Consider the following 24,327-nt stretch of genomic DNA (forward strand, 5'->3'; position numbering starts at 1 on the left):
ACTATTCAATAGTCGACTGAAGCATCAGAAATCAATTTGCATTAGTCAGGATACTGTGAGAGTGTTTGGGTATAGCTGTTGACAAAATTTATGTCAAATAGCAAGATAGGAATTATGATACCTGCATTTATTTCTGTTCCAGTCATTATTGAATAGTGATATGACAAATATGCTGCCGAACTTTTCCTACAACTGATAATAACCCAAGTAGCTAATGATATCAAAAGTGCCCACTAGCATTCATAGCTTATAGACGTGGGGTTCCAGGCTCATTCTCTTCTGATAATGGGATAGGTAAAGAATAGATCAAGAGGCCAAGTTAGATAATTTTAAGGAGCATTTGGTTTACATGTGGTTGAAGTACACAACCAGGTTAAAATCCTGATAACAACAACAATAGTAACATCCAGAACAATAATGGATGTAACAAAAAAAATTATGACCTGAGCCAGACATTCCTTTCCCTGTGGTACATCATGTAATTCTCACATTCTCAAAGGTCTGTGTCTAGGCAGGAACCAATGTGGCTGGGCTCCATTCATTCCCAGTAACGCAGACACCCCTGCAGGGAGTGGGACCTCGCACAGTGATAGATCCTGGGGTGCTGGGTGATGGATCTATTACTTTGGTACAATCTAAGTGATTGATTTTAAGTTAGATTGATTTAGATTGATTCCCACGGTCTTCACCCCCACCCCGCCCCCCAACAAGCTTTTTTTTTTCTTGTCACTGTTGGGTTTCATTATTACTATTTGATATTTTAATGTTTGAAGTCATCATGGAACCTACAGTCTTGTGGGGCAAGAGTGACCAGTATGTAAACAAATGCATAAGACAAGGTTAATGACAAGAGTGACACTGAAGCCGGACACATTTCTCCACAGCCTACTCTTGCTCTCCCAACAGCTACTTCTGTGTTTGGATCAAGGCAAACAAGAGAAGTATCTTTGAAGACTTTTCTTTAATGTAGTATGGGCTGTAACTCTCTTTGCCTCTGCCTTCTCTGTCTTTTTTTTTGTTAGTTTTGTGATAACATTTATTGTGTGTGACTTTGATGCTGTCTCCAGAAAAATGTGCCAAAATTTATGGCTTGCTAGTGATGTCTCTGTTCTCTATCTTGTTTTGAATTTGGTGGGATATTGGGCGAAAAGGGTAAAAAATGAGTGCACTTACTCTGCTATTTTGATCCAGATGGGGTACATCCATCTTTGCATTCTTATCAATTTTTCCCCCTTAGGATCAATTACTAAAAATGGAATTTCCAGGTCAAAGGGATGAGCTCTCTAAAAGTGTTTGATACATATTGCTAAAATGTTCTCCATAAAGGTTATATCAATTTATTTTCTCGAGGTATGATGTGGTATGAAGTATGATTTCTTACACTTCTGCATCAACGCCGTGTGTTCTCTTAAAAAGGGTTTTCACCAAACTCTTACGTAAATATCTCGTTATTATCTGCATTTATTTCATTGTTTGTGAAATTGATCACATGTAACATATTTTAAAATCATTTATAAATGTCCTTTTCATATTATTTGCACATTAAAAAATTATGGCTTAGTGGACTAAAATAAAAATTGTATTGTCACAAAATGTTTTTCTGGGTTTGAAGTTCACTCTTAAAGTTTCTTTGGATGGATTATTTTGTCATTCATTTATTTAAAAGTACTTATTGGTCTCCTTCTGAATGGAAGCAGAATGCTAAGATGCCCCCAGCATCCCCACCCTCTAGACAGGTTCTGGATAATCGTCTCCCCTGGAGTGTGGGTGGAGCTTGTCACCCTCACATAATTTTGCTCCCGTAAATATTTTATGGCAAAGTGAAGGGCTTTTGCAGATGTATTTAAGGTTCTTAATTAGTTGACTCAGTCTGGGTTGGCCTGACATAATCAGGTAAATCCTTTAAAAGAGAGCTCAGGCCTTCCCTGAAGAGAGATTCTAAGTAATAGATTCTCCTGCGGCCTTGAAGAAGCAAACAGCCGTGTTTGAATTGTCTGCAGAGAGGGACACGTAGTGAGGACCTGAGAGAGACTCCTGGGAAGCGAGGGGTTCCTAGATGACAGCTGGTAAGAAAATGGGGGCCTTGGCTAGACGACAGGGATGTGAATTCTGCCAACCATCTGCGGGAACTTAGAAGTGGGTCTTTTTTCTAGTGCAGCTTCAGGATGAGGATCAGCCAGGCAACACCAAGATTTCAGCCTGGGGAAATGCTGAGCGGAGGCCCTAAGTGGAATGCATCAAATTCATGACTCACAAAAATCGTGAGATAGTAAATTTTTGTTCTTTTAAGGCATTCAGTCTGTGGTAATGTGTTACTCAGCAGTGGAAAATGAACACACCCTGTATGACAAGCACCAGTGGTACTCCCCGACTTGAAAGAGATGCGTCTCATCGGAGCCATGGCCTTTACGGCTTTGGCTTTGATGTCATGTTTGAAGACACTTTGTCCTCACTCCAAACTTTTGTAATTATTTACCCCATAATTTATTATTATTTTTATAGTTTCACTTTTACATGAATATCTTAAAATTCAACTGGAACTTATTTTCCTTGAAGGTATAAGACATCTAACGTTTTTTTTCCCTTTGCAATTAGTCTGTTGTCTGAAGAACATTTTTTGAATAAACCACCTACTCCTCATTGATTTGGCAAGTATCTTGGTTTAGAAGTACAGTCACTTATTTCTAGTAAGATATTATTTATGAAATACCAATTTGGGCCATGGGTTAAGAACGGTTTAGTGCTGATTACTTCATTATTATAAATTATGACCCAAGAGACAATGCAAGGAGCATAAAGATATAGTCATATTATCCCTTGCATTTGACATCTTGCTTTTTTTGTCCAGGTAACCATATATTTGAAATGGTTTTGTATGAACCAACTAACTAAAATAAAACACTTTTAACCATTGGCTAAAGTGATTTCAATTGTATAGGTTGCTTACATTTTCTAAAAAAGACGTTTTCCTTCAAATCAACAGCAAGAATGATTAAAACCTGGTGTATATTTTTAATAATGTGTGACTAGACTATAAATTCTTTGAGGACAAGGACTATGTCTGAATCATGCATTTGTTTCTAGTATCTAGTACAACCATGTTTAATAGTATTAGCTTAATAATTTCTAAATGACTGAATTATTTTAGCTATACTAATGCTGCTATGAATTTTATAGTGCTGGTGTATGCATTATTTTCTGTTAATCAGTGATGGTAAGAATGCAACCAAGTAAAACAGTCAATTTGGACTTTAATCATTAAAAATAAATACATTTGTTTAAAATTAAATTTAAGCATTCTTGTACAAAATAATTCTTAGAGCTCTTTAAGATAGTCTTTGATACTTTTTGTTTTGTCAATGAGTAGATCTCACCGTTGTCTAGCATATCAAACTCACCTTCCTTACCTTACGTGGCTCTAATTCTTTCCTACATTGCTTATCATTATCTCTATCCCCTTTCTTTGTCTCTGTCTGTCTTTAATCAATCTAGTCTTCAGTATTGTCTTGGTGGGAAAATTCTCCGAAATATTATCCTGAAAACTTTTAGAATCAAGAGATTTTACAATGTACACTCTGTAAACAAAAACAGTATGATGAATTATATATTCTGAATACCAATGGGCTGACATTTCCAAAACAAATATTAAAATATTAATGGAGCTGTGTTTTGTGTCTTCCTCTATATCAAATGCAATTGTGTTTTTGTTGGACACTACTCTTTATTTTCCTGCGCAAGTCATCTTTTATCTTTGCAGGGCTGAATATGAGTCTAAAGGTGTCCACTTGCTTATTAATGAGGAAAATGTACTGAGAAAGAGGAAGAAGCATTCAAAATTTTGGGAATGTTTTGTGGTTTGTGGTGGGGCATGATGCTGGTGAGGAGGAGCGACCAAAGGAATGAGCATTCGTTGAAGATGCCTTCAGATGGCTTATGATTTTACTTTCTTTTTTATCTGTGCCAAATAAATACGTGTATTATTTATGGGGAAAAGTGGGAAAATGGGGACAGGTTCAAAAATATGTTCGATTACTTACTTTGCTTTTTTTTGTAAGCACAAAAGTCATTAAGTAGGCTGGCATTGGTTGTTGTGGAATATTGGCCCTACAAGTAAGTGGGATGGTTTAGAATACACATTAGTAATAAACCTAGGTTTGTTACAGTCAGCATTTCTCAAGCCTGTTTGACCACAGACCATATATTTTTCAACACATCTGTTAGTATTCTCTGGGTCCAGTGTTCCAGGATATATAACTTCCTGGAATGCAGGTATACAGCAGACCTGCACCAAACTCAGAGTCCATCCCTGATAATGCAGTTTCCCTTGTGTGTGCACAGCGTATACAGACATGTACACACCTCTCACGAGGAGAGTTTGGAGTCCTGTTTTAAATACTTCTTAGTAAATAATTTTCTCTGGCTTTTATTTTTGAAATATTTCCACAAATGTCCTTATATTTGCAAAATTGTCCTCGACAGACATCCTCACTCTATTTGATCACCCCTTTTTCACCCTGTTGTGGGAGAAAGGATCCCCCACTCTAAACAGTAGGAGATGGCTGGACACATGACACCCAAGACCCGATGGGGAAAATTAAACAGAAGTTTATTAATTAAACCTACTCAGGGCCCCAGGAGAAGACATTGCACACAACACAGGGCCACGCAGGGACTGCACTCAACAGCAGAGACTCCAGCAGAACAAGCAGGGGCTTTGTAGTAACAAGAGGTGGGGTGCCCCCTGGTTTCCGTGGGGAGGTGGGATTGTGTGCAGAACTCTGTGCACTGGCAGGGAAGTGAAACCTGTTAGTTCAGTGGGGGGACCAGTGGGGTGGGGCTCTTTCAGTTGACAGGGGAATTAGTTGGATGGGGTCTTTCTCATTGTGTGGGGGCCTTTCTGGCCAGAGCAGGGATGCTCATGGTTAAGCTTCTGGGGCCCCAGGAGGCTTAGAGATGCCAGGGCAGCACATGAATTCTAGGCCTTCCAACGCCACCTCCTGCAAGTGCCTCAAGGTCTGTGTTTGGTGTGTTCTGGGTGCGGCTGGGCAGCTCGCCTCTCCTTATCCATGGCAGATGCCTCTGACCCATGGCGTCAGCTTCTCTCCGTATCAGATCTCAGTGTCGATTCACTTGGTATTCAAAGCCAGATTGATTTTTATCCAACATAGCATTCTGGTACTCCCCTGGTGTGGCTCCTTGCTATTGCAATTGATGGTGGCTATTATACTTGATTCATTACATGCCATTGATCTTCGAAATTTTGATTAATGACAGGGAAACCTAAAAAGTTCAGAGTTTGGCTTTGGTTCAAATGAGCACCCGGAAGTTCAAATGCTTAATTCAAACTAAGACTCTTGGATAAGTAAATGTGGTTATGCAAAATTAGTCTGAAAAATCTCCTGGAAACAGTCCCTCTCTTGGAAATTTCTGGTATTTCCTTCTACTTAGGCCATGGACCATAAATACTATGAAGACTTTTTCTTTCTTTTGTTCTGCTCACTTACTGCTGGCCATAGCCCAGGTTCTTAGGTTTTTGGGAATAGGTAGCAAATCATGGGGAGAGTTCAGGGTGGCATTGTTAGATCACCAGCAGTGCATGCATTTCCCATGCACCTGGGCATACAGAGACACAAGCCCATCAGGTCCCAGGGTTCAGAGTAGAGATACCTGTTTTTCCCTGGAAAACTGACTTCTTTTTCAGATCCATGAGAGCATGCTAATACCATGTGAATAAACAAGTGTCACCTAGACAAAGCAACGAGTTGACAAATGACAGTGGGAGAAATTCCCTCCAAAACGTACAGTTAACTCTTCTCAGCTCTCCTTGCTTAATTCAGCCAGGCAGCCCTGAGTAACAGAGGGTCTGAGGGCTGCACTAAAGGCCGGTGGAGATGCTAGCTCTCAGGTCCACAGGGAAAGACTCTCCAGAGAAAGGGCTCTTGAATGAGGACATTCGAGGACCTTACCTACTCCAACCTTACCTCCCAATACAGTCCCTCTAAATTCAGTCTGAGGGTTCACTTGGCATGCTGACAGTTTTGGGAGGTACCAGGCTAGATATGGCAGAATACAGTTCCATGAGGCTCATCCGGAACTGATGCCAATCTATGGTTTGTTTCTAGTCAGTGACTCATTTCAATTTCTTTGAGAACACAATGTATAAAACAATGTGTTCATTATAATGAGAGATTCTATTTGGATTTGGATTATCCTGAGAATATTTAGAAAAACCAAATTAAAACTTCTGACATTGGATGTGTGCATGTGTTTTAGGTAAGTTGCAGATCCCAGGAAACATTAAAATAAGCACTGAGCATCAACTCTGCAGCTCAGAATTCTGGGAGAGATTTCGCTCAGGTCTTCACTCTGGGCGGACAGCTCATCTGGATGTTAATGATGGCTTGTTCACACCTGGACATAGCATAAGAGACCTGCTAATTATTCATGCTGTCCCAAATTACAAAACTATTGTAAGTAAAACAAAACCCAAAGCCTCCAGTGTCTGAAGAGTGAAAAAGGAGACCCCATTCGAACAGCACACATTATTATGGTATTTATAATATTGTTACATAATAACCAAGTTAGGGTTCAAATTTTTAATTAAACAATAAAACATAGTAACTTTGGATTTTAGTTACATGTTCTTTTAGTAGAAAAGACACAAATGTATTACTCCACTATCAATTCGTAAATTGATTGACTAGAGAGTTATTATGAAAGACCAGTAGAAAATTTTGTTACATTGACTTTATTTAATAACTTAGTTTTAATAGTTTTGAATTTAAAAGTTAATGTTTAAAAGCCATATATTTCTAGTTTATTATTTTTATAAGCATAACGATTTAGAATTTTCTTTCTCAATATATATTATATGTTTATTTTGTATGAAAGTATAATAATTTTTAAGTATAAGGGCTTCGGAAGTTAACACACGGGCAAGCACCTAAATAGAGATTTCCATGCTACTTATTCGGTGGGTTCTGTTCAATTATGTTGATATCATTTTGATTAATTTATTAGACTTTTCCTTTTTCTTAGGTCTTTCCATGGTAGAATTTATTTCAGTAAGTGGATTCTTACTAGATTGACATGTAGCCATTTTTTACACAAAATTCTGCCCTATCAGGTGCTAATATGGAACGTGGATAGTAAATATTAATGTTTTCTAAAACTCTCATCTCTGTCTCTCTACATCTGAACCTTTAAGATGCATTGGTGTCAGTGGAGGAATTGTGTGACCTTACTTGCTTTCGTTTAGAACGCTTGTTTCCCTACCTAACACGACTCACAGTGGCCTTGTGATTAGCACTTGCATGTGTATCTGCAGTGAGTTCAGGCAGGTCCCCTGGTGCTCAGGAAAGCTTGCTTTGCCTTGCACCCATGCAGGGGTCTCGCTTCAGCCAATTGCCCTTTGGCCCTGCCTTTCTTGCTGACTTTTCCGGGTACTGACCTGGCAAGCAGTGGACGTCCAGGCAGGAAAGAAGCTGCGAGAAAAACACACAGGAAGGAGCCCTCTGGGTGGAGGCAATGTCACCAAATACGAGTAGCCCCTTTAAAATGGAAAATGTGGTTTCTCCAATGTAACTTTCAGAGTAAAATTTAAACGTGAAGAAATAGATGGCTTAGATAGCAACTACATCCTTGTTTCCAAGCTATTCCCTGGAAGTACCGATGGCTTTTAAAAAAGTATATTTTTATTTTTGCCTCTGAAAAGCCACTTCTTATTCCGGCAGTGCATAAAAGTCACAGATTACATTTGGAAAAGAAAAATGAAATTTGAAAAAGAGGTTTTTTTTAAGCTGTCACAGCCAAATAGAGGCCACATGCGTTTACACAAGGGAGTGAATCATTTTATTTTCACAAACACAATTACTATTTTTGTTTGTTTGAGATGGAGTCTTACTCTGTTACCCAGGCTGGAGTGCAGTGGCACAATCTCGGCTCACTGCAACCTCCACCTCCTGGGTTCAAGCGATTCTCCTGCCTCAGCCTCCTGAGTAGCTGGGATTACAGGCGCCCGTGACCACGCCTGACTAATTTTTGTATTTTGAGTAGAGACAGGGTTTCACCATGTCGGCCAGGCTGGTCTCAAACTCCTGACTTCAGATGATCTGCCTGCCTTGGCCTCCCTAAGTGCTGGGATTACAGGCATGAGCCACCACACCCGGCCCACAATTACTATTTTGAAAACAGCATCGTGTAGACCACCATTGCACTAAATCAAGTGACACTCCTGAAATACATGATGGGTGAGTCTGTAGCAGCTTTGTTTGTGCAATGCTGCGTTAAAAGAGCTGTAGCTCACACAGTGAGCTTTTTATATTCTCCTGGAGGGTCTCTAAAGAGAGGAAAAATAGAATTGATCAAGAATTTGGTGTCTAAATATTTTAACTCTTTGTAGAAGCCAACGTAGTATGAATATTCTTAACTTTGGTAATTCGGTAAAAACATTTGGTAATAGTTTCCAGGAAACTTAAAGTGTTTTCAGAAAACGTAGATGCCAGTAATGGGGAATTGATTAGATAGCTGAGGAGCCACACTCAAGAAATGGTTCTAGGTGCCACGAAAGCCATAATTTTACAGATGATTTACAGCCTAAGAAGCAGGAAGATGGTATACCGGATGACTTCAGCTCCTTTCAACCATGACTGTGGGAGGGAATTCAGCAGAAAAGGCTTCCAGGGGCAGAAAGCAGGCATGGAAAGGCTGAGCCTCTCCCTCCTCCCAGCTCTCCTTTCCTCTCCACCCCTTCGACGCCCCACCTCCCACCTGATGCACCGTTGAAATGTACGTCTGTTTTGACACTTCTGGAGTCATTGCTACAACTTTAACCCTGACTGTCATTCCAAAGCTCAAAAAATGTGTTTATCCACTGATTCTGGGTTGAGACTGTGAGTTTGGATTAACAGCAATAGGAGATGAATGAGCGACATCTCTAAACCTCACAGCACCCTAAGGCGCTCCATGTATTCATATTTCTAATGACCAGTGTATATGTGGTTTTGTCTAATAAAATACTTACCTATATCTTTCCATAAACAGCTGTTTTGCTTCTAAAAAGGTGTGGTAGAAATGAAAAACCCAGCTCCCCTTGACGGGATGGCTGGCCTAGTGTAAAGCAGTCCCTGGCTAGCTTAGTCTCTGAGCAATGGGTCTCCATTAGTGTTTTCTGTGATTCTAAGGATTTGGCTCATGCTGTGTGTTTCTTAACTGACATTAGTCACATCTACCCTTACACAGTGAGTCTGTTTTATGTAATTTCACATTAAAAATTCAGGGTGCTAGAAGGAATTGTCTTGGTTTGGTTTCCTGATCATCATGGATTCTCCCAGAATTTCTCCTCTCCCTTTCAACTACTATATAAAAGTTTCTTTTTCCAGCATCAGTGTGACAGTGAACTCTGCCACAGAATGATTTGCATAGGAATTATTACACTCAAACCTTGAAACAAAGCTGAGGGAGCTTAAAATATCACTTCCAGTACCTGCTATCACATGTATATAATTAAAAACCAAACATTTCTTTTTTTCATATCACTGATAGAACAAAACAACATAGTGTAGATCCAGTTTGTTAGAAACCGCAGAAGATGGTCACACACCATTGCATTAAGCCTTTGTCCTGCTAAGAAAACTTTATATATAATAAATATAAAGTATAAAAGACAACCTGGGTTAAAGAAACAAATCCAGGAGCTGTTTTCCAAAGTCATCTGGGCCATATTCCTGCAGACAGGAGGGTCTCCCTCTCAAGCTGGTATTTCTGTCTCCAAGGAAGAAATGCCCCTCCACATATTTGAGAGTGCATTTAGGTGCAATAACCTGGACTAGATAGCCCTTGGATGAAGGATAATGGAATTGTTTTGTATGATCTGAATTTAGAAAAAGGACCACATACCTCATCTTTAATAAGAAGAAAAGCAACGATAGGTTTAGTTTTGTACTACAACGTAACAGAAAGATCTTCTAACAATGTCCTGCGGCTTTCTGGTTTCTCCAAGCAGGAAGTGTTGTCTGGGAATGAGAGCTACTCTGGACATTGCATTTGACTCATTTAGGCTGCTACCCACTTAAAGCATCTTTCTAATCAAAGCAGAGTCTGGGATTAAAGGGACTAAAAAAGCCATCAGTCCACCTGACTCAGTGTCTGAATCCACAGAAAAATTTGCCAAGTTTAGATACTAGAGCAGAGATTGTTTATACATTACAAGTTGTCTGAATTGATAAGTTATAAAGGAATTAGTAAGATGTAAACAACTTCACTCAGGTTCCCCCTCCCACCTCACTGAATACGTAGTGAAGATTGAATCGTCGTAAGTTGTCTCAAGAATAGATTTCATTACAATGTGAATTTGAATGGTGTGACTGATTTATGGTACTGCTGATTTAGAGCTTTTTTATATTGCTCGGGTGGTCCGTCTGGCTAGCTTTCAAATTCAAAGTTTTATCTTTACTTTGGTTTGTGTGAGCTACTTTATTCCTGGAACATCAAAGGTAACATTTTAATCAAAAATAAAGGAAAACAGTATCATGTGATTTCTATACAAATAAAAAAAAGAAAGAAAGGCATATTCATCAACATAAAAGTCAATACTAAGAGAAAACTGGAACTTCCTAGCATTCACGCATTTTAAGAGAAAAAGAGAAGACTTTTAGAAAGAAAAGCTTTATGAAATAAACATACTTGAGAATATTAAAGAAACAAAGCTTTACCAATGAGCTAGGAAAAATTTAAGATTATAAATAAAATATATTTTGTGAAACTGAGATTAAGAAAGTAGAATGTGACTTTATTCACTTTTCTAGGTCTTTCAAATACTAAGCAAATTTTATTTCTATATTCATTCATATAAGGTCAATATTAAATTATATTCTATTTTCAATTCATTTATGAGTGTGTGAGTGTGTTTCGTGGGTAAAATGTGGTATTGCCAATATTGAACTCATGTAATTCCTTTAGTGGTTTTGGAAGTTTGGGACGGATAAAGTAATTGCTACTTTAAAATTGAATTTAAAACTTAAATTTGCTTGAATTTAAAATTGCTTGGTGCAGTGTCTTCCTTTAGAAATGGCTTTCTAACTAGAGTTGTTGTCATCCAAAAAAGAAGGTGCGCAATGCCATATTCGAGTGTTTGAGGCTGCAGAAATTCACAAAATATTGGCCTGAGGTTTGAATTAATAAGACCAGTGAACACATTTTTAATCACATTATTTGCCTGACCTTGGGTAACAGATTCCTAAAAACATAGCCTTAATGTTAAGTTTGTTTCTACTTGGGGGAATAGAAAAAAAAAGTTAGCATTTACACTTTTTATGAAAAATCCAATGTAAATCATTTTGAAACAAAAAGTGGGATAAAGACTTACAGTTAAATGAGGCGATGCTTGCATAACATTTCATAAATGTCACGTCTTTATTCTCATGAATGACCTTCTAATCAATAGGTTTACAGTTCTGACCAGTTTATAGATTCCACATTTTTCTGCTGGGGAGCTTCATGAATTGATGATGGGTGACCTAGTTTTTTATAAGAAGATCCAGGGGGCTCCCTTTGTGCTCCCATCCAGAGGCTGTGAGCCTCTGAGCCACTCAAGTACTCATACCAGTACGGTCAGCTGCAAATTGTAATTGGTAATTTACACACTGATATCTCCAGAAAAAGTACTGACAAGAGGTTTTAAATCCAAAATATTAATACTTCCTTGCTGATAAAAGCACTAAGAGGAAGAGGAGAAGAAGATGATGAAGAAACAAGAGGAGGATGAAGAGGATGAGGAGGAGGAGGTGGAGGAGGAGGAGAGGATGAAGCAGAAGAAAGAGGAGGAGGAAGAGAGGGAAGATGAAGGAGTAGGAGAAGGAGAAGGGAGACGATGTAAACCTTTCTGAATGTCATGTAAGATTCTACTTGGCTTTCAGTGAAAAACATTGTATGTTAATTTTGCTAGGTGAATAAACATAGCTTTGCTTACATGTGTCTTTTCATCTAGTTATAGAGTGTCACTTCTTGAAGGAGGTGAAGAGATGAATAAGGAACTTCACACAATTGAGGTCCTAGAACCAAATAACACCATTAAACTGTGCAATTGCAAAAGCTGCTTATAATGCTTTCTGTAAGTTATGCTTCTAAAAATATATTTTGCAGATGTCTCCAGGTATTGTATTCTTTATAATAGCAGTCATAACTCTTTTCTTCTATATCTAAATCATTACATCAAGGATGTAGTTACCATTGAGCTTTGGGGAGCACTGAGGGGTCCAATGCTTTGCTACTCAAAGAGTGGTCATTGGACCAGCAGCAGCAGCAGCAGCAGCAGCATCCAGGAGCTTGTTAAAAACAGAGACTGTTAGGCCCTTCCTTTCTCTGTGGAAACAGAATATGTGTTTTAACAGGGTTCCTTTTGGGTGATTCATGAGCTCATCAATGTTTCAGAAACACTGATTTTACTTTCTTCTGTATCTTCCCAAGCAGGAATATATCCATGCATAGATAGGCATTAATAATGAGAGTTTAAATGAAGAAACCAAGCCATCTTATTGGAGTGTTTAAGATGCACATGCTCTGTTTCCAAGTCATGAGGTTGTTTTGTTATTTATGTGGAGCCATAAAACACAATAGGATTTTAAAGTCTATTTATATGCATAAAGCTGGCATACATAGTCTCAAATCAATGCATTTATTTTCATTATCCTTGCATAATAGCCAATAACCCATAAATTATCAATCCTGTCATCACAACTTTTGCAAATCCTAAAATTGAGCATAATAAACTTTTTGGATGATTAAAATGTTACCCTAATTATTTATAACAATTAATTTTATCTCCAGCTCTTGGATTCTATTTGATCTGCCTTTACACATAGTTGTTAAGAAAATCATGCCAGTATGTTTGCACATGAACATCTGAATCAGAATATATCCAAATCCACTGGATTATTTCAACTCTTGACAATAAATCCCAGTTTCTGTGTGTGTTACATAGCAATTCCTATGACTCAGAAAGGCGATTTGACTAGATCTGCTGTTACAGCAGAGACCTAGCAAGAAGACGAGAAAGCTCAGTGGTGGAAATGTAAACACATTGTTGATGAGGTTACATTAGGCTATTTAAAACATTATTTAAGTACAGAGAAGAGATATCTGCCATACTGCAAGACAACTGAAAATTCTTATTGATGGATGACTTGAAAGAAAGCATGGACTGAAACCAGGGATCAGAAAGTCAAAGCTATAAGGATCCACTTAAGTTAAAACAACTGCATATTTACAACAGTCCTTCTCTCTCCTCATATATGCAAGAGCACTAATGGGATCTGAGACCTTTTTTTTCATGGCCAATTGTCTTTCAGAATTGCCAGATTTTTAATTCTCTGAGATAGTTTAGACATAAGCCTACATTAAATAAAAAATGGCAATCCAATTAAAATATGTAAACTATTTGTAAATGTTTATTTCTTTTTGCTAAATTTAATCAATGTACTACCAAAATAACTGGTCATTGATGTATTGCAAAGTAGAGAAAGAATAAGGCATTGGGTGTGTATTTATTTTTGCTGTTGTTCAAAGGGTGGCTCTTTAAGAAGCTAAGATTGTAAGAGCAGGTAGAAAAAAGGTGAACAATGTTTAATTGTCTTCTTGTTTTCTTTTTAGAATTGAGCAAATAGCTGGCATTCAATCATTAGCTATTAATTGGACTACACCTCTTAGCCTAGTTCCTACTGTTGCTAAATAGCCACAGAAGTCCACTGGACAGGGAAGGCAATGCAGCTTAATGCCTAATTATGCAGGTCATTTTTGTCCAAATGCTAGCTTCTGTGCTGTGGGAATAGGAAACAGCTTCTTGCATTCTGTAAGCCATATTTTTTCTCTCATCTGTAAGATGGGCTTACACCTACGTCAAAGGGTTATTTTATTTTAAGAATTAAAAATTACGTGTAAGAGTACTGAATATGATGCCTGGGATGCAGAAGGCCTCAATATACAACAATGCTTTTATTATTGCCGAGGTTGCAATGGAAAACTACCAGTACTATCTTTCCCTTCTCAGTGCTCAAGGTGCTGGGAGTAGCAAAGACAGATAGATGGTGGAGAGGGGAAGCTGCATGGATAAAGGTACCATAACTGTTGCTCCAGAAGTAAACCCTTGCCTTTATTATTTGTTCACATGCTCCCAGCATGTATGGGTCAGCAAGGGAAACTGCATGTAAACATGTTGCTGTCTCTTTGTAACCCCAGGAGCCACATCATATGCCACCTTCCATTAAGGTTTACTTTCAATAGCTAAATTCTGGCATCCTCTAGCTACATTAAGAGTAAATAGGGTCCTTGAGGTTCATCCATATTGTTGCAAATGTCAGGATTTCCTTTCTTTGATAAGGTTGAGTAGTATTCCGTTGTATGTATACACCATGTCTTGTTTATCCATTCATCTGTTGGGCATTTAGGTGGATTCCATATTCAGGCTGTTGTAAATAGCGCTGCAGTAACATGGGAGTACAGATATCTCTTCAACATACTGATTTCATTTCCTTTGGGTTTATACACAGCAGTGGGATTGCTGGATCATATGGTAGTTCTATTTTTAATTTTTCGAGGAACCTCCATACTGTTTTCCATAATGGTTGCACTAATTTATGTTTCAACCAACCCTGTAAAGGTTCTCTTTATTTCTACAGCTTCACCAACGTTTGTTTTCTTTTGTCTTTTTGATAACAGCCATAGTAACTGGAGTGAGGTGATATCTCATTGTGGTTTTGATTTGCATGCTTCTGGTGACTAATGACGTTGAGTATTTTTTGATATACTTGTTGGCCATTTCTGTGTCTTCTTTTGAGAAATGTCTGTTTAGGTCTTTTGCCCATTTTTTTAAATCATGTTAAGTGAAATAAGCCAGACACGGAAAGATAAATACCACATGATCTCACCCATATGTGGAATCTTAAAAAAAAAACTGATATAATAGAAACAGAGTAGTACAGTGGTTATCAGAGTATGGGGAAGGAAGGGAGGAGCGAAGGATGGGGAAAGGTTGGTCAATGGCTACAAAGTTACAGTTCGATAAGAGGAACAAGTTCTGATGTTCTATTGCACAGTAGGGTGACAATGGTGAACAGTAAGGTACTGTACGTTACAAAATAGCTAGAAGAGAGGCTTGTGAATGCTCTAACCACAAAGAAATGATAAACACATGAGGTGATGGATATATTAACTACCCTGACTGGGTCATTATACAACATATATGTATCAAAACCCCAAACTGTACCCTCATTCACATGTATGATCACAATGTGTCAATTTGAATGGATGCATGAAAAGAGTAAACAGTGTCATCACAAGGTACCTGAATATTAAGCAAATCCCAAGGATGTGCCCAGCCCCTGCTCCAAGTTCAGTTCCATTTTCTGGAATGTTCAAGAAAACCACTCTGACTAATGTTCAAGTCCTTTGGTTTCCTCAGTTGAGTAAAATAAAGAATGATTTCACAGAAAATACTTGGATGAATTTTTTAAAAAGCTGAAGGTTTGAGTGAAAAGAGGGAAAGGAAGGAGAATGTGTTTACTGCTGTTGGAAGAGCACATGACCTTTGCTTTATCACCCTGAAAAGTGGAACCCATCTATCAACTATCGAAAATGTCATTCAGTGACACACTTCTGCTTTCTTCTTTATTTTAGGTGATGGCCCTGTGAGGTGCAATTATCTGTAGTTTAAACCTCAGGGAATTACATTTAAGACTCTCAAAATGGTACATTTGGCAAATCATGAAACTTTTACATTGTATTACCCCATCATTGACCTGTTTTGAATTGTGAAGATAATTTTAGCTCGTTTCTGTCAGCCATATTTAAGACACCATGCATATACTTGTGTGAAGCTTGTAGAATGAAAATAAAGCTGCTTGGGATGATTATGTTGACATATGAATGTTAGCATGTGGCTCTGTTCTCCTGCACCCTTACATCGTCATCTGGTAGCATTCCAGCAAAATCATTCCAATTCATCATGTATTGTCTTTTTCCTCTTACTATTTCATGATGAAAGTTTTCAATACTAATGCTGCAAAGTGGGTATTATGTTGATCTATGCTAATCAGTTTCATGGATGCTGTCATATTACATTGTTAAGCAATGACACTGGTGAAATATTCTTGCATCTACTGTTATTGTGCAGACAGGCCAGTAGTGCCAAAGTGAAACATTCAGGCACCTGCCACCTTTGCTTTTTGATGGTTTCTGTCCGGCATGGATTTGCTAAGAATAGTGAGAAGGGAGGCAGAGAGGGTTTTGTCTGTGCTGTTATATGTCATCTTAAAGAAAGAAACACTGTAGAAAAAGGGTTTTTTTTTTTGTACACATACAATGTATTGTGTGTGCATGTGAGTGCCTGTGAATTTATAGTGACTTCATTGGCACGTATTATTTTCATGGCAGTACTTCTGTAAATGGTGTGTTAGTATCTCCTAGAGGAGCTGCTGGCTTTAGGATTTTACCACTAGCTCATAAAACAGTGAAGCTCTACTGTTAAAGCTAAAGCTTCGGGAGGCAGTTTTCAGAGATAAGTTTATTTTAAAAGAAAAGTCTACAAGGGGAGATTGATTTGGCGGTTTTAAATGCTGCTTCTGCAAACCTTTTTGAGCTGTGTTTTCGCCTCTGAACATCTGAAGCCACTTTATAGGGAACTAGAGAATTGCATGGACAGAGGTATTCTTCCCAGTAATAAAGATATACTGCCAATAGAGTCAGCTCATGAGGAGCTGTTGGGTCGGCAAGGTTTGTCTTTATTGCCCCTCTGCCTGTGGGCAGAGCCTGCCCCACTTCCGGAGTCTTGGGAAGTCCCCAGGGTCCTGGGCCCGCTGTTCTGGAACTCTTCACACAGGCCACTCTCCCTACTCATTGTACCTGTGCCATCCACTTGGGATGCACTTGAGTGTTGGCTATTGAATCGAGTAAGGTAATTCAAAAGAAGTATTTTGATTGTCAACAGTTTTATGTGCTGCCACTCAAAGATGTCATGTGCCTTTCGACTGCATTCCAACGTCCTTAGAAGTGTGGTAAGATCTGGGAGAGCAAAACGATTGTACTGCCTTCTTAAGTTCCCCAACACTGCTCACGTGTTCTGTAGGTGACCTGCTGTCTCATCTGTACCTAAAAGTCCTCCCTTCCTGTCCAGGTGAACATTATCACGCCGGGACGGTGGCTGATTACCCACAATGTGCAAAGCATTGTTGCAGGAACTGTGAATTCAAGAAGAAATGAGAAACAGTCCTGGTCTCTGAGGCACTGACACCCAGAAGGTTATTGAATGTTATTGTAATTGTTGAATAACGTTTGTGTACATGTGTGTGTGTGTCTGTGTGTGAATGCCTCTGTGTGTGTGCATGCCTGTGTGTGTGTGTGTGTGCCTGCAGGATTGAACTGTGTTTTATTTTTCTCCGTATCACAGGAGCCTCTATCCAAAGCTTTTGGCAAAATAGATACTTTATGTGAGTTAATTAAGAACTGATAATGGTGTAAAGAAAACTGTAATTACTGTGAAACATAAGTACTGGTGAGCTTCTTGCAGATCCACAAAACATGTGTAAATACCTAAAGGAGGGACCTGTGTTCTTTTACAACAATGGCTGAACAGATGCCAAAGGGTAGCACATAACATGATTTCATGGGAAAGTCTGGTCCATGATCTTTAAAAACTAATCACCAAGAAGGAGCTCCTCTTGGGGTCTTGTCTTCCACTTCAATATTTAGCAATCATTTTCACACAGATCTGTTAAAGCAGAAGAGTCCTGCTTTGGCCTTCCCACCTGTTGTGAAGTGTCACCTCAAAGCCTAGATTTTAGCTCAGCTATTTCTCAACGAAAGCAACTGGAGATTAATTATACACACGAAGCTTGCTCCTGAGCTCTCTTTTTGATCACTATGTTAATTTAACAGGAGAGCTTCTATCTAAAGCAAAAGGAACACTAGTCCCCTGGAAGTGGAGCATGCAATAAAGGCTGTGAAATGCTACCTCTGGGGAGGAAGTGTGGCCTGAAGACGCAGCCAGATACCCAGGTCCCTCCACACCTGCCCTGCTACAGAGAAAGAAGGAAGCACTAGGCCACTCCACTTCTGACAACGTTATTTAAAAAGTGAGCTGGGTTTAACCAAAGGAATTCATTGATCATTTAATAGCGAGGACTTAGCCTTGGAAAAATAAATGTCACGTCACTGACAGTAATCCACTAGGAAAAAATAAATGACAAACAGTGTGAGGGCACCCTTTCCACTCGGATTCCTTCCTTCTGCTATGCTATTTGCCCCTAGCTCGTGTTTAGACTCTAAGTTAGAATAATCACGATGCCAAGTACCAACTAGAAATTATCACACTACTTTTCTTTTGACATTCATGATTTATTTTCCTAAAGAGTGTCTATATGTGTGGTTTGTAGGGCTTGGGGGTGTGGGGAGATGGAGAAGGAGATCTGGTATTTACCTCACGAGGAGTGTTATTCAAAGACCAGGAAAGAAACCCGATGTTTGCTGCAGCTAAATGACAGTATTTATTATGTACTCACAAAAGGGTAAAAAACGCTCCTGTTGATTATTTTGACATTAAATTGCTTGCAATACATGAGGGATTAATTATGACATGGCACACTTCATTCTGCAACCTGAATTAGCTGGAGTTTTAAAGAAGGGTCCACGTTCGCAGTCTCATTTGTCACACGGTAAGAATATGGGTTTCTCTGTGCTCTATTCTTTACGAGGAGGTTTGATCATAAACTCAGTGGCCTCATTGAATGCACGCATTTCTTACTCAGATCAAACAAAGGTATACAGCCAGTCTTTATGTATCATCCTCTTTCATGCAGCCAGGCTTTTATTGACTTGACTTTTAACTGAGGTGTATGTTGAGAAGGTTCCATCTTGTCATCTGCCTGGAAGGTGGTTACAAAGCCTTGCAGCCAGCCAGTCTCCCCAGATACATATGTGGACATATAGAATATGACCTCCTGCTGGTTCTCAAATAGACGACTGTTGAGTTCTGTGGGTAGAAGGGATGAGGTCCAGTCATGCATGTGTACCTACAGGAACGGAGGTTGAGAGGAAAGTGTACCAGATAACAGCAGATGATGACATGGGAAGACCCTTTATGCCCTATGTTGTTGGATGACCAGGACAACTCTTGCCTCATCTTGCTGAATGAACAGGGAAGGAGATTTTCTAGTCCAAAGCCACTGGAACGGAATGCAGCTCTTCGACGCAAGTGCAGATCGCTCTGTCGTGCTTATTACTCCTAGTTCCCAGGCTAGAAGTAGAAAACCCCAGGCCTGGCAGAAGACTGCAGTCATCCCTGAGAGAGGAAGGAACTGCCATGTGGAATGGAGAGAACAGGGCTGGTGCTTCCCTTTCTGTGCCAGAATCTGCATCACCTGCAGGCATGGAAATGAAAACGCCCAGGCAGCTGTAGGGAGAAGTGTGGTTGAGGGAGCGGGGAGGAGGGCAGCCCAGGAGCTTCCTTTGTTATCATGAGGGCCTGATGGTTTCTGACCACTAGTTTTATGGGCTATTCTATATGGAATCCCAGTGAATACATCCCTAGGTAATTAAGAGAGCCCAGTTATTGAAACAAACACAAAACCCTCCTAAACTGCTGAACTGTAAAGAATAAATGTGATGAGGGGCTTGGCTGGTAGTGGTGGCTTGAAATTTTCATCCGTGGCTTTTAGAGCACTTTTATATTTGAAAAATATTTTTCAATCATTCTGAGCAGTTTTTGCTTGTGATGATTCAGCAAGGTCACCTGAGATTGCCTGAGTGATAGATGACAACACCTGGGTGAGGTGATTTTCAAGGTCATAGAACAGGTGCCTAGACAGATGCAGGACCAGGCTCACAGACTGCCGGACCCCAAATGTGCCACGCCCCATGGAATCCAAGGTCCCTTCTAAGGAGGCCCAGGATGAGGAGCTGGGAAAAGCAGGCCCCGGCTCTTTCCACCCACCACACGCTCCTGTTTGTAGCCAACTGGAAGACATCCCTGTGTGTCAGGAGTTTGTGTATTCTGATCTCAGAAGCCAATGAGTGAGATACATGGGGAGAATCCAGCTCAGATAAGGGACTTGGAGCTACAGGATCAGAGAAGTCATAGGATTCTGCTGAGGGCAAAATTCCTTCACAAGAAAGAACTTGAGCCTACAGGTCACGCTGGGGGATCTCTGTGGTTTGTTCATTCCACCCACAGGAACTTTAGGTCTTGTGAAAAATGTACGCGTCATAACTGTGCAATATAATTTATTTAGCCAGAAAAATGATCTTTTATTTACAAACTTGTACTGCTTTGACAGAAATGCCAGAGTCTCTTACCTTGAGATCCACAACAACTGTGATTCTTGAAGGAATTTTCTCGTCCCACTCTGTTTGTCTGTCCTATTTCTATATCTAACATAAAAGAAAAATCCAATAGCATTGAAGTTAAATAATACATTTTCCCCTCCTAGAACCAATAAATCTGTTTAAAGATGCATTACTACTTTTCTGGAGGGATAATTTAGACTATGTATCAAAAAGGAAAATCAATAGTTTTCTTCTATTACAAATAATTGCCTGTTTGACTCTTTTCCACTTTTTCTTTTTTATTTATTTTGGCTTCAGAATATTTCTACTGAGAACATCTCATGCTTTAAGCCTAAACTAATAAGGGTTCTTACAAGACAATGTCTTCCATCAGAGGAGCCCCTCTTCTCCTGAATTTGTAGAGCTTCCCATATTCCATAAGAGGGGAAATCAGAATAGGCCAGGCTCTCATGGGAACAGTTTGAGCTGTAACCGTAAACTAACAGACCTTGCCCACAGCAGGCAAAGCTGCAGTGAGTGGGAATAGCTCCCAAGAGCAGGCAGAAAAGAATGCCCACTGTCTGGCTGATGCCAGGGTAGAGGGCTCAAGGCAGATCTGCTGGCCCCAAGAGCATGAGTGAGAGTTATCTTTCCTACCTAGGTTTAAGCTAGTTAATTACAAAACTTCTTGTATAAACTGTGGCCTGGAAGCCTCCATCCAAGGCCCCTCTTTAAGCAGTTAGACTGTGATCAGATAGCTATCTGAGACTTCTCTGTCCAAAGAATATCTGGTGGGAAATACCTAATAAGGATGATAAGAAGATGGCAGATAGGAGACAACATTAACTGCAGCTCCCATTTGGATGGACAGAACAGTGTTTGGAGATTCACATCACAAACTCTTGCTCCAAGAACCATGGCAGGAAAACCGAGAGAATTCACAGATCCCTTGAAAGAAGTGGCATAGCACTGCAAATTCCATGAGACAGGTGGAAAACTGTGAGTCCCCACCCAAACTGTGAGAGGGGAAAACATGCCTCCGAACACACATCGCCACTGGGGAATCTGAACATCCAGATCAAGGGAGAAGGATTTAACCTTACCTGGAGGTGAAATGGATTTAGAGAGCTGTGCAAAATATAAAAGTAGCAGCAGCAGCAGCAGCGGGCAGAGCCTTATAGGCTCTCCCAGTCTCCGCTTGAGCCCAGAGAAGCCATCCCTGGCTATACCTCACAGGGGCCTTCAGAAAAGGCACCAAGCAGAATTGGGGAAGGGTCACTGGCTGTAAGAAGCTTGCAACTGAATTTTGCATTAATTCTGACTGGACATTAACTTTTTGTAGCAGAATCTGGGGGTGATTGGGATCTGCTGCAGATAGGAGATAGGAGGGCAGGAGCCGCAGCCGACATAGTAGGCAGATAGGGAGGACTTACTTGCTTAGTGGAGTAGCTTATGGCCTGGGGCAAGGTCTGAGTGTCCCCCCCGCTAACAACCCCCCAACACACAGGCTGCCTGGAGATAAACTCAGTGCTGTTAGTTGGGAATGGTGGGAGCGAGGCTGGCCTTGCCAACTGTGTGGGAGGTGGGAGAAGCCTTTCAATGCTGACTTTCCTCACTTCCCTGGTGAACCATACTGCTAAGCAGAGGTAGCTATGCTCCCCTCTGGAACATAACCCCACTGGCCTGAGAACCACCCCCACATCCCCAACACTGACTGCGACAATTCCCTCCCAAGGAGACTCTGAGCCCAGACCCACCAAACCCTGCCCCCATCTGACGGTTTTTCTCTACCTGTCCTGGTAGCTGAACACAAAAGACAAACACTCTTGGGAGCTTTATGACCCCAACCATTACCTGAATAACCAGAATACTCACCCTGGCCAACTTAGCACAAGCTTATATCCCCCTTCTATTACTGCAGTTGGTGCTCTCTTGCAAGTGCCACCTCCTGGCTAGAGGCCAAACACCTCAGGCCATTACAGTAACTCATGACAGAGTAACCCTGCTCCAAGGAAGGAGAAAACAACAGTTAATCCCACCGCCTGCAACATTCTGGCTAACCAGAGGCCCTGAGTCTGATCACATGGCAACTTCACTAATTTTATTACCAGCATTTAAGAAAGCCAGCACACAAAAACATATCTACAACCAGGGCCTCTCCTCTGCCACCTCCATCAGAGCAGGTGCTGGTATCCATGGCTGGGAGACCAGAACATGGACCACATCACGGGATGCTTTGCAGACCCCCCCCCAGCACTAGCCTGGAGCTTGGTAGCCCTTCTGGGTGGCTAGATCCAGAAGAGCAATAACAACCACTGCAGCCTGGCTCTTAGGAAGCCCCATCCCTAGGGGAAGGAGGAGAGCACCTCATCAAGCACCACATCTGTAAGACAAAAGAATCTGAACAGCAGTACTTGAGTTCCAGATCTTTCTGCTGGGGTGTAGTTTCTCACAGCAGAGACACAATTGCAGTGCTTGATGCTATAGGGAAAGTCTGCACCTATACCCCAACAGACAGGCAGCCTCTGTGATCATGAAGGGACTTGGAGAAGGTGTCCTTGTTCCCCTCTGGTACTCTCGTGAAGATATAGCTGGGGCTTCTCCCACAGGAATGCAGCATGGAGGCACCTATAGACAGGCTTTCTGGAACAGTCCAAATTGAGTGCAGTCCTACAGGAGGACCATGCTCCAGATTCAGGCCTGCACGAGAGGCAGAGTCACAATTCCTCCCTACTTGGAGCATCAACATTCCTATAGATGAAAAGAGGTGCCTATCTGATCTGAATAGCTAAAACACCAGGACAGGAGCAAGGCTGTTAGGTGAATAGCTTTGCTGCTGACCTGGGAGGGGAACTGAGGTAGGTCTCACTCTTCACCATGATAAAACCTCAGCATATCTGGTTGAGTGCTTCTCCAGCCACCCTCATCAAGGCTGGGGCCTCGGCCTACTGCTGGCTGTTACATCTACCCACCTGCCTTAGCGACAATGGGTGCCTACCCAGGGTTACCTCCTTGATCGGCCTGAAGCCTGAATCATCAATACAGTAAATAAAACACCAGGAAAAAACTAAGTATATAGATAAAGTATACACCATGAGAGAATGGGATAAGTTTCAAGAGATCCCTGCCATTCCAGCTCCATTGGAGACAGTGAACTCACCCACACATCAAGAATGTAACTACTACAAAGAGCATCAGGGAAAACCAGTGCACAAAAACTCCGTAACTAAGGATCTCATACAGAGTCTTTACCCCTGCAATCACCAAGAATCAAATTCGGATAAAATAAACATTAAAGTCTGATCCTTGAGAGGGAAAAAAGAAAGAAAACAAAAACAAAAAAACACAGTCCAATGAGAAATAAATTCAAGAACAATTTTAAGAAATAGTCTACTCAAACGACAAGGAACCAGAGAAGTAATTCTGGTAATATGATGAAACGGGGTTCTATAACACCCTCGAAAGATCACACTAGCTTCCCAGCAGTGGATCAAAACCAAGAAGCAATCTCTGAATTACCAGATAAAGAATTCAGAGGGTTGATTATTAAGCTACTCAAGGAGATGCCAAAGAAAGGTGAAAACCAACTTAACAAAATTTAAAAAACAGAATATGGATGAAAAATTCTCCAGAGAAATAAATATCATAAAGAAAAAAACAATAACAACTTCTGGAAATGAAACACAACTAAAGAAATACAAAATGCGGTGGAAAGTTTCAACAAGACTAGAACAAGTAGAAGAAAGAACTTAAGAGCTCAAAGACAAAGCTTTTGAATTAACCCAATCAGACACAGACAAAGAAAAAAGCATAAAAAAATGAACAAAGTCTCCAAGAAATTTGGGATTATGCTAACTGGCCAAACTTAAGAATAACTGGTGGCCGGGCGCGGTGGCTCACGCCTGTAATCCCAGCACTTTGGGAGGCCGAGGCGGGTGGATCATGAGGTCAGGAGATCGAGACCATCCTGGCTAACAAGGTGAAACCCCGTCTCTACTAAAAATACAAAAAATTAGC

General features: G+C 40.4%; 1 long non-coding RNA gene across 1 annotated transcript, besides 2 other annotated features; it reads right to left on the reverse strand.

Annotated features, from left to right (window-relative positions):
* Positions 1,716 to 2,915: an enhancer, noted in NCBI's record as "P300/CBP strongly-dependent group 1 enhancer chr18:73201370-73202569 (GRCh37/hg19 assembly coordinates)". NCBI's record gives its function as "activates an origin of replication core promoter dependent on BRD2, BRD4, P300/CBP, MED14 and CDK7 cofactors, with strong dependence on P300/CBP, by STARR-seq in HCT116 cells {active_cell/tissue: HCT116}" and the evidence as "EXISTENCE:reporter gene assay evidence [ECO:0000049][PMID:35650434]".
* On the reverse strand, positions 18,510 to 22,306 carry LOC105372202 (uncharacterized). The gene is made up of 3 exons (XR_935640.3): positions 22,186 to 22,306; positions 20,341 to 20,415; positions 18,510 to 19,406 (listed from the first exon to the last, which is right to left on the reverse strand). It is a non-coding gene; the product is annotated as an uncharacterized LOC105372202 (long non-coding RNA).
* Positions 22,437 to 23,082: an enhancer, noted in NCBI's record as "OCT4-NANOG hESC enhancer chr18:73222091-73222736 (GRCh37/hg19 assembly coordinates)". NCBI's record gives its function as "activates a minimal SCP1, AML or CMV promoter by ChIP-STARR-seq in naive H9 embryonic stem cells {active_cell/tissue: H9 hESC(naive)}" and the evidence as "EXISTENCE:reporter gene assay evidence [ECO:0000049][PMID:30033119]".

This window comes from Homo sapiens, chromosome 18 (genome assembly GCF_000001405.40).
Source record: "Homo sapiens chromosome 18, GRCh38.p14 Primary Assembly".
NCBI classification, from domain to species: Eukaryota; Metazoa; Chordata; class Mammalia; order Primates; family Hominidae; genus Homo; species Homo sapiens.